This window comes from Homo sapiens, chromosome 17 (genome assembly GCF_000001405.40).
Source record: "Homo sapiens chromosome 17, GRCh38.p14 Primary Assembly".
Classification (NCBI taxonomy): domain Eukaryota; kingdom Metazoa; phylum Chordata; class Mammalia; order Primates; family Hominidae; genus Homo; species Homo sapiens.
The window spans coordinates 56,586,624-56,597,500 of NC_000017.11; the positions used below are offsets into that span (position 1 = coordinate 56,586,624).

Sequence of the window (10,877 nt, forward strand, 5' to 3'; positions counted from 1 at the left end):
CCTCACCCATTTGTTCTGTAACCACCTCTTGATTTTTCAGGTCTTTCAACCTGGACATCAAGCCAGGCATGGTGGCTCAAGCCTGTAATCCCAGCACTTTAGGAGGCTGAGGCAGGAGGATCTCTTGAGGTTAGGAGTTCGAGACCAACCTGGCCAACATGGTGAAACCCTGTCTCTACCAAAAATACAAAAATTAGCCAGACGTGGTGGCGCATGCCTGTAATCCCAGCTACTTGGGAGGCTGAGGCAGGAGAATCACCTGAACCTGGACAGCAGAGGCTGCAGTGAGCCGAGAATGATGCCACTGCACTCCAGCCTGGATGACAGAATGAGACTCTTTCTGGAAAAAAAAAAAAAAAAGAAATTAAAAAATCAACTTGGACATCAAATCTTTTAGGGAGCCGTTTCGGATCCCCCAGCCCAACATTTCTATGCCTCTTCATGGCAGCTGACATCCTGAATTGTAATCTTTATTTTTTTCCCCAATCATCTGTGACCTCCTCAAGAGATGAGACTCCATCTTCTCTCTTGTTGAGCAATGTGTCTATAATTGGGGTACATGCCTGGTGATGAGATAAATGAAAAAGACTGATGGATGACAGTAGGTGGTCACAGCAAGTCATATCCAAGGCTGCACCATGACTTGAATGGTGAGGAGACGGAGTAGGGGCTAGGAAAAAAGTCAGAGACGTGAAGGTTTTGTGTTAGGTGGATTCGGTAGCTGGAACCCGTGATTCATCCCACCCACCTGAAATGGGGTCATTTTTCACCTTATTTTTCACTCCATTGAGCTTCTGTCTGCTTGTTATCTTGAGCCTTTGACGGGATAAGGGAGACTAGACCTTATTATCTCAATACACATCTATCTGAGGCAGTGGGATGAGAGGATGTGGGGGAAATGCAAGTGTACACTGAGATGGGTGTTTGTGTGTTTTTGGCAGGAGGAGGCAGTGTATCAATTTCCCATGGCAGGTCGCTAAAGGGAACTGCCTTCAGAAACCTTTAAGCCTAGATAGGAACAGAAGAGGCAGAAGTATGGGTATGTGTGTGGTTTGTGTGTGTGTGTGTGTGCACGTGTGGTGTGTGTGGTGTGGTGTGTGTGTGCGTGTGGTGTGTGTGGTGTGTGGTGTGTGTGTGGTGTGGTGTGTATGTCTGTGTGTGTGGTATGTGTGGTGTGTTGTTGGGGAGCAGTGCATAGCGAGTGTGTGTGATATGTGTGTATATGCATGTGTGTGCACGTGCACTCATGTGTTTGTATTGAATAACTACATATGTATTGGGGTCGGGAAGGTAGGCTCTTCAGTACAGGTAGGCTTTCAATATCTGAAAATTGTGTGCCTGTGCAAACCTATGACAGTGTATGGTGGGGAGCGGGAAGCAAGTCCTAGAGCATTTAGAGTTTGTGTTTCTATTCGATGACAGTTATCCGTTCACATCATAGCCCCCCCATCATTTTGGAGATTCTTGTCCCACACTAGCAATACTGTATCTGTAGTATTCCATTCATTCCCCTTTTGAAATACTGGGTCACATATGGTAAAAGTCCGTTAACTCAGAACCAAGTGTTGTTGGTCTTTAAATTTTATTTAGAATGTGTGTGTGTGTGTGTGTGTGTGTGTGTGTGTGTGAAGCAGTGGCTAGAGAGAGAAGGATTGTACAAGGATTTCCTTTCCATAGGAAAACGTTGGGTCCATCCTAGACCCAGACTTCAGCCAAGGAAATGCAATGTGAAGCCCAGGAGAGCTGAGGGCAGGAAAGCGGAGAAGATATGCCTGCTGGCGTCGCCCCCACCCACCCCCAGGCCCCCCACATCAGGGCAGGCTAAACATGCCGAGGCTTCTGTCTCCAGGGCTGGAGAGAGGCGCCCTCGTTAAAACTCAGATAAACAGTTTATCAGGAGATGAATGAGCCACCGGGCTCCAGAGACGTCTCCCCTTCCCCAGTGCGGAGCCAGATGGGGAGGGGGCTACAGGCGGAGCAGGAGCCAGACTGAGGAAGGGAAGGGGCTGTCGGGGCTGGAATAAGCTCGCTGAAGCTCCTTTCCTCCTTTGGTCTTAAACTTCGTCTCTATTTTGGGAAATGTATTTCACATGTATTTGCCCACGTTCCCACCCCAGACCACGTTTTAGAGTGATTTCCCACTCTCTCCCTCCTCTTTCTCTCCTAGTTTCCCTCTTTTGCCCAGCATGCCCATTTTAGTTACTTCTCACCAGAATCTAACCACCAATGGGACACACACACACACACAATTATAATGCCCTGTGAAGCTGAACTGGGTTCTTTCTACCCTCACTGTGAGTTCTGAACTGGCCAGGGCTCCCCAGCACCCAGGAGGCTACATGGAGTTCACCACCCTCTGACCTCAGTGCCACCTCTACTGTCACCTTCTGGCAGTCAAGAGAGATATGTGACAAGCCTCATGGCTGACTTGGTCTCCCTTTGCTAACTTAAGTCAAGCCCAAGAATGCCATTTTGGGGTCTCATTAAGAGAAAGCCCATCAGATTCTATATTTATGGGTCCCAAGAGATTGTCAGAAACAGAGGGTAGAGAATTTCAATGCCTGGGATGACACCAGCTGTAAAAGATGGCAGTTCTCATGCATTCTCCAAGGACGTCTCATGGTCCTTGAAAGGTAGAGTGTCTCACCCAAGGTCGCACAGCTGGTAGATTGCAAGTTTTCTGACCTCAAGCCCCATGCCCTTTAGGCGTCACCCACAGTTGCCTTAGGTCTATGTTTCCAGGGCCAAAGAAGCAAGAAGATTGTCAAGTTGTTCTTCGAATCATGATAGAAATAAGAGAAGATACATAAAAGCACCCTCAGGCTCCTCTTGCCTTTGACCTGGAGTTGCCCCAGCGACTGTTTAAAGGAGTGCTTCCATTTACCTTGCCCAGAGAATTTTGCAGGGACAGAAACCTGGGATGGGGCTACCCAGGGACAGGCCTCCATTTATGTTGTTCATTAACTCTTCCTATGTAGCCTCCTGAGGCCTAAGTCCCCAACCAAGCCCCACTACAGTCCAAGCACCGCCCACAGCGAGAGTCAAGCTGATAGCCGTACTTCCATTGGCCCATCTTCCGCCCACAGCTTCCTTTGCAAGAAATACAACCCTCTTTGTCCAGTTTTGTCAAGCTCCCTCTTCAACAGAACCACAGAAGCATCAAAATGGGTTGACTACAGAATCTCCTAAGAAACTACAGTCCTCCCTCCCTCAAACTCCTGAAGCCTGGCAGCCCTCAAGTTGCACAGATGGAGTGGACAGAAAGCAAGTCCAAAGGTGTTGGAGTTGATTTCAGCAGCATCCTCACCCCTTCAACCCTCTTCTGCTCAAACCTGAGATGGTTGGCCAGTTGAGGGCAGTGGGGTTCTCTGAAGAAGTAACGTGTTGTAAAACCATTGCCCGATATAGGCTCTGCCCCAGGCACCTTACTAGGCTAGGCATTCCTTACCTCTTTTACGTGGCATGATTCTGAGAGGTGTGTATCATCCCCATCTTACAGATGAGAGAATGGAAACGGGGTGGTTAAGATGACTGTTTTAAAAAGGTAACACAGCCGGTGAGGGGCACAGCCAGAATTCCAACTTAAATCCACCTGGTCCAAAAGTCGTGGTGCTTCCCTGTCTGGGACATTTCCTCTTCCACCTCTCATATCCCCAGATTTTCTGGCTGTCCCTCATACAAGTGTGGTTCCCTTCTTCATGTAGATGTATATCCTATCTCTCAAATCTCTTCCTCTCCATACTCAGATAAATACATCCTTCTTCATGAAGCTCAGCTAAAATTCAGCTCTACCATTAAGGTCTTAGTACTTCCTAGTCTCTGATACCAACATCCCCAGGTTCACTCAGTACCTAAGCGCATGGGCTACTCCAGTGTGGCACAGAGTTAGGAGTTGCAAGCTTCCCAAATGTGGCATTTCAGAACTTCACATTGAAGAGGGGTAGATATGGTTTGAAAACAGTATAGCTAACATAATTGCTTGGGCTTCTTTTTGGTTATAATAATGTATTTTAAAAACTTTAAACAACATTCAAAGAAGAGCATGATATTGTTATATCTATCAAAAGGGGACATGGATTTTAAAAAGAAAAGGTTATAAAAAACTAGTCCACACTGTTATGGGAATTTATAAATTTTTCTGATGTCCTTTTACTATTTCTTCTTGTGGTTGTCATATCTCCCCTAACTGTACTACAAAAGTCTTGCAGGATGGAGACTGACTATGAATTTTTTCTTCTTTGTATTTTTCCTGATGGTCTTCACCCAGTAGATACTCCATAAACAGGTCACCCAATCTGTTCTCAAGCATGATTTGTTTCTGGTTCCTGAGGGACCTTTTTTGCTGTTCAGTCAAATCTGCTCAGCCCAACTAAATAAAGGATCTGGGTTGGTTTTCAAGCAAAAATAGGTGATTTGAAGGAGAGAAGAGGGGGATTAAAAGAACAGAAACCAGCATGATATAATGTCATTAATTGGAACCTACCATCTCAGGAGGGCTGAGCTAGAGTTTAGCCCTTGAACTCCACTAAATAATTTTCTTAGTTAATTCACATCAGTGACAAAATTGCTCTGGAACATGTAATCTTCATAAGGAAACAAACTAGTGCTGAATCCCCATAAAGCACATAAAAAAGAAAGAGGTATGCTTAGGAGCCTACTATGTGCTAGGTTCTTTTTTTGGAGGGGGAGGAGTTGGGGAGGTGGGAACAGAGTCTCACTCTGTTATTCAGGCTGGAGTACAGTGGTGCAATCTCAACTCACTGCAACCTTTGCCTCCCAGGTTCAAGTGATTCTCGTGCCTCGGCCTCCCAAGTACTTGGGATTACAGGAGCCTGCCACCACGCCCAGCTAATTTTTTTTTTTTTTTTTTTTTTTTGTATTTTTAGTAGAGACAGGGTTTCAGCATGTTGGGCAGGCTGGTTTCCAACTCCTGACCTCAAGTGATCCGCCTGCCTCAGCCTCCCAAAGTGCTGGTATTACAGGCATGAGCCACCGTGCCCGGCCTGTACCAGGTTCTAATCACACATTATTTCAAAGTCAGCCCAATTCAAACAACCAATGGGTTGTTGTTAACTCCAGTATCCATCAAAGCAAGATCTCCTTTTGAGCAGTCCCTTGATAGTCTAATTCTAGTTGTCTAGACTTTAAAATTGAGGGAAACGCTTTCAGCGGAAACTGCCCACCCCTTTTAATAGAGGTTTTGCAGAAAGACTGTAGTATGCAACAAAGTGTTTTCTTCCTTAGACAGATGATAAACTTTGGGAGTTGGGGTGGGGCAGGTTGAAAGGAAAAACCAGATCTTTGGGGAAAGAAAGTTAAGCGATTTAGGTTGTCACAATGGGACCTCTTAACTCCCACTCCATGGAAGACTGGCAAATACTTGAGTCATCCACTCCAAGTCTCTCTTCTCCAGCTTTTTCCAGATTCCAATCACATTCACCACAAAGAAAACTGAGTTTGCATTTTAAAGCTGAGATTGAGTTCCTCGTCCAAGGGGAAATTAACCGGAGGTGTCCCTTCAGTACCCATCTCCCATCAAAGAGAAACTGCTTCTGAACAAGAGAAAGCATCGTGGAGGTTTATTTAAAATCACAGAAAGGTAGGGCTGGAAGAGAAATCTATTAATAGTTACGTCACTAATGCGAAAAGTGAGAAAAATGACTTGTCCGAGTTATATCAGGGTGGACCCCGGGCAAGACTCAGGTGCCTCTGCTGTCAGCTCACCTTTCAAGTTTCTGGTCCCCACTCGCACCCACTGAGACCAGAGACCGATTTACCTGAGGCAGAAGGTGCTGCACGCATTCTTGTGAAATTTGAGGGGACCGAGAAGGAATCTCAGGAAGTTTGTTTACACTGGGGGCCTGGAGACCTTCGGGAAAATAGCCAGAACCAAAACGGACCAGTCAGCAGACGCAGACACACACAAAGTGACAGGGACACAGAAGCAGAAGCTGAACTGGGCAGAGCGGGCAGCGGCCGACCCACCTCGCACGGCCGCCCCCGCCAGCGCCAGGTGCAGGGCTCATAGCGGGCCAGCAGAGGGCGCGCCGCCCCCAGGGAGCCGAGCGGCGGCCGCGCGGAGCCGGGCGGGCTAGGGGAGCCGCAGGCGAGCCAGTCGCGCCCCTGAGGCTAGGCCACTCAGGGTGCAGGACCCGGCCAAGGAGGAGGAGGATGGTGAGGAGCGGAACCCCCTCGTGGGCCCGAGGGGCAGACAGACAGGAGTGCTTCCTAAGAATTACATCACGCTGCGCAACGCTGCGGCTCTCGGACTCCCTGGTGCAAAGGGGGGTGGGGTAGGGGCTGTGTGTGTGTGTGTGTGTGTGTGTGTATATATGTGTGTTGGGGGGAGGGGACTTAGAGCAAGAGCCCGGGAGAGAAGAAGACGCGCTCGGGGAAAACGCTCCATGCACATGGAGAAATTTCTTGCTCCGAACTGCATGCACCGAGAAACGAGCCCCCAGCACTTCCCCGCTGCTCCCCTCCCAGTGCAAAGCACCCAGCTAGTGAGAAACCCTCCAGCCCCACCTCAAGCACCGCCCCCCCTCCCCAAACACCGGCTCTGCACCCTCCAGCCCGGCTCCAGCGCCGCCGCGAGCTTTCCCCAGGACTGGCCCTGGCGGGGCGCCTAGAGCCCCAGTTGCATTGCTCCAGGAGAAAGGAGGGGGGCGGTGCATTTTGCAGGAGGAGGAGAAGGGGGGTGGGTGGTGGGGGAGAGAGAAAATTGCGCGGAGACCTGCCAAGCGCCACCGCCGCCGCCACCGCCGCTGCCGCCGCCGCCGCCGCCGCCTGTGAGCTCCGGCGGGCAGCCGGACTGTCGGCTTCCCGGGGCATCTGGGTCCGGCGGGGCACAGCCCTGGGCGCTGCCGAAGCCGCCGCCGCCGCCTCCGCGGCGAGTACAGGCGGCTTCCCCCGGAGCCTGTGCAGCTCCAGCTCCTCGGGGGTGGAGAAGTGGGGGGTGGGGTTGTTGTTTGGGGGGAAGAAGGGGGAGGGGGCAACGCCGAGAGAGTCAGTGGTTTCCATGGTGATGGAGCTGAAAGTGCAGGAAATTTAAAGGCTTGGACCCTGCGAGACAGACAAACCGGTGCCAACGTGCGCGGACGCCGCCGCCGCCGCCGCCGCTGGAGTCCGCCGGGCAGAGCCGGCCGCGGAGCCCGGAGCAGGCGGAGGGAAGTGCCCCTAGAACCAGCTCAGCCAGCGGCGCTTGCACAGAGCGGCCGGACGAAGAGCAGCGAGAGGAGGAGGGGAGAGCGGCTCGTCCACGCGCCCTGCGCCGCCGCCGGCCCGGGAAGGCAGCGAGGAGCCGGCGCCTCCCGCGCCCCGCGGTCGCCCTGGAGTAATTTCGGATGCCCAGCCGCGGCCGCCTTCCCCAGTAGACCCGGGAGAGGAGTTGCGGCCAACTTGTGTGCCTTTCTTCCGCCCCGGTGGGAGCCGGCGCTGCGCGAAGGGCTCTCCCGGCGGCTCATGCTGCCGGCCCTGCGCCTGCCCAGCCTCGGGTGAGCCGCCTCCGGAGAGACGGGGGAGCGCGGCGGCGCCGCGGGCTCGGCGTGCTCTCCTCCGGGGACGCGGGACGAAGCAGCAGCCCCGGGCGCGCGCCAGAGGCATGGAGCGCTGCCCCAGCCTAGGGGTCACCCTCTACGCCCTGGTGGTGGTCCTGGGGCTGCGGGCGACACCGGCCGGCGGCCAGCACTATCTCCACATCCGCCCGGCACCCAGCGACAACCTGCCCCTGGTGGACCTCATCGAACACCCAGACCCTATCTTTGACCCCAAGGAAAAGGATCTGAACGAGACGCTGCTGCGCTCGCTGCTCGGGGGCCACTACGACCCAGGCTTCATGGCCACCTCGCCCCCCGAGGACCGGCCCGGCGGGGGCGGGGGTGCAGCTGGGGGCGCGGAGGACCTGGCGGAGCTGGACCAGCTGCTGCGGCAGCGGCCGTCGGGGGCCATGCCGAGCGAGATCAAAGGGCTAGAGTTCTCCGAGGGCTTGGCCCAGGGCAAGAAGCAGCGCCTAAGCAAGAAGCTGCGGAGGAAGTTACAGATGTGGCTGTGGTCGCAGACATTCTGCCCCGTGCTGTACGCGTGGAACGACCTGGGCAGCCGCTTTTGGCCGCGCTACGTGAAGGTGGGCAGCTGCTTCAGTAAGCGCTCGTGCTCCGTGCCCGAGGGCATGGTGTGCAAGCCGTCCAAGTCCGTGCACCTCACGGTGCTGCGGTGGCGCTGTCAGCGGCGCGGGGGCCAGCGCTGCGGCTGGATTCCCATCCAGTACCCCATCATTTCCGAGTGCAAGTGCTCGTGCTAGAACTCGGGGGCCCCCTGCCCGCACCCGGACACTTGATCGATCCCCACCGACGCCCCCTGCACCGCCTCCAACCAGTTCCACCACCCTCTAGCGAGGGTTTTCAATGAACTTTTTTTTTTTTTTTTTTTTTTTTTTCTGGGCTACAGAGACCTAGCTTTCTGGTTCCTGTAATGCACTGTTTAACTGTGTAGGAATGTATATGTGTGTGTATATACGGTCCCAGTTTTAATTTACTTATTAAAAGGTCAGTATTATACGTTAAAAGTTACCGGCTTCTACTGTATTTTTAAAAAAAAGTAAGCAAAAGAAAAAAAAAAGAACAGAGAAAAGAGAGACTTATTCTGGTTGTTGCTAATAATGTTAACCTGCTATTTATATTCCAGTGCCCTTCGCATGGCGAAGCAGGGGGGAAAAGTTATTTTTTTCTTGAAGTACAAAGAGACGGGGGAACTTTTGTAGAGGACTTTTTAAAAGCTATTTTCCATTCTTCGGAAAGTGTTTTGGTTTTCCTTGGACCTCGAAGAAGCTATAGAGTTCAATGTTATTTTACAGTTATTGTAAATATAGAGAACAAATGGAATGACTAATCATTGTAAATTAAGAGTATCTGCTATTTATTCTTTATAATATCCCGTGTAGTAAATGAGAAAGAAGTGCAGAGCAGGATTAAAGAAAACCACTAAAACCGACTGCGCTCCACACTGATTTTCTGTGTTGGTGATTGATGGGGGTGGGAGGGCGTGGGAGGGGGCGGGTAGGGGATGCTGCTGTGCCTCCTACCCCGTTGGGGAAGGGGCTCATCCCCTCGGACTCCCCTCCTGTGGTATGATGGAGGTGACTTAGTTTTTTGAGGGCGTTGGGGGGGGGGGCGATATTCTCTAACCCCTCACTAAAACATCACGTGGCCTCCGCCTAGTCTCCTAGCTTTTCCCCCTATGTCACCAAAGCTCGGGCCTGTAGTGACCTCGACACCCAGCCGGCCCCCTGGAGCTGACCCCAGGCTGGGCCGAGGGGCGGGGGGAGGGTGGGCGGCCGCTTTGTCCTGCCTGACAGGCCCTTCACAATGGGGACACGTGTCTTTCACACCTACCCTGGGGGCGGAGTGCCGCTGAAACTTGACCCCCGAGGAATGGGGAGGGGGGGAGATCAGAGCGCGCCCACCCAGATCCCGCCACCCCTCCCGCCTCGTACCCCCCACCTCAATATCCAGCCCATGTTAACCCTTTGCATGCCCGGAAGCTACGGTGGTACGAACTGAGGCAATCCCTTGGAATCAACAAGGCTCACAGCCTCCGGGATCTTGCAGGTCCGAGCCCCGAAATCCCAGGCCCTCGGCCGGAGGTGCTGGGGATATCAGGGAGATTTGACACTGGCCTCCCCTCTCCCCGGGGACCTAAGGAAGACTAAGGGCCATGGTTTCGGAGGGGTCCGAATCTGGGTGAAAATCACCACCTCTGGCATCTGCTTTTGGGAAGAGAGTATGCCTGTGCTCGGGCACTTTCTCCCCTTGAGGGGTGGGGAGGAGGGAGAAATCGGAACCGGAATCTTTGCGCTTTAAGATTAGATAGGGGCAGAAGGCACGTAACCCATTAAAGGGACGTGCAAAACATCACTCCCACCCCACCCCTTAAAAAGCCAACTCCTTGGGACCGACGCCTGACTCTCGCATGCGTCCCTCCGCCTCAGTCCCCAGTGGCGCCCGTCCTCACAGCTCCACGTGGGCCAGCCTCCTGACACTGCTCAGCGCTCTCTTTATTTATCTTGGACTCCAAAGTCGCTCTCCTTTGCTCCCTCCCCACCTCCCTGCCACCTCTCCGCGCCTCCCTCCCGGCGTTCCTTCCACCCCACCCCCCACCCCCCCCAACCCCCCAAGTCCGGAGTCCCGGCGAATCTATGCTAATTATTTCAAACCTGCGCCTGGTCCCCAGCGCAGTCTCAATGCCCCCGGCCCCGCCCGCCCTGTCCCTCCAGCCCGGCGCTTTCTTCCCTCCCGACGCAGCCTCGATGGCTCCTCATTTCAATAGCCTGGCCCCGGAGCCGAGCCCCCTCCCCGGCGCTGCCTCCGTCAGCCGTGGGACAGACGTTAGGGTATTCATTAACTGAGAGCCGAGGAATAACGGCATTATTCCCCCCAGAGAGGGCACCCTGCCCCCGCGACTATCTGAGGCTTCATTGTAAAAGGATTAAAAGTTAAAGACCTCCATCTTATGATTCTTTCATTTAATCTTCCTGGCGCCTGGGAGACATGCTCGATGGATGATGGCTTTTAAAATATTCCTAATGTCGGCTACCTTAAGACTCCAAGCTGGGCAAACAAACGTAATTTATTTCCAGAAGAAAGGGGATATTGAGATGTTTAAGTTTATGAACTGCCGTCCCCATGTATATTTGTTAAGTTCTGACAAATACCCAAATAACGTTAAAATCAGCCATTCATCACTTATGAATTTATGCAAAACTTTCTGTGCCCCGGGCCAATATTTTTTTAGACAGAGTTTCACTTGCGAGGGGCGGAGGTGGTGGGGAGTGGGGAAGAGGAGGGGTCTTATGCGAGGGGGGCGAAAGCAAGAATTTTCAT

General features: G+C 52.7%; 1 protein-coding gene across 1 annotated transcript, besides 2 other annotated features; it reads left to right on the top strand.

Moving 5' to 3' along the window:
• Positions 5,929–6,138: a silencer, noted in NCBI's record as "silent region_8738". NCBI's record gives its function as "represses an Ori minimal core promoter by ATAC-STARR-seq in GM12878 lymphoblastoid cells {active_cell/tissue: GM12878}" and the evidence as "EXISTENCE:reporter gene assay evidence [ECO:0000049][PMID:35858748]".
• Positions 7,076–8,988, top strand: NOG (noggin). The gene has a single exon (NM_005450.6). It carries the CDS (start codon positions 7,601–7,603, stop codon positions 8,297–8,299), a length of 699 nt encoding a protein of 232 aa, NP_005441.1. The 5' UTR covers positions 7,076–7,600; the 3' UTR covers positions 8,300–8,988.
• Positions 9,251–9,451: a silencer, noted in NCBI's record as "peak2904 fragment used in MPRA reporter construct". NCBI's record gives its function as "represses an SCP1 promoter by STARR-seq MPRAs in K562 erythroleukemia cells {active_cell/tissue: K562}" and the evidence as "EXISTENCE:reporter gene assay evidence [ECO:0000049][PMID:32103011]".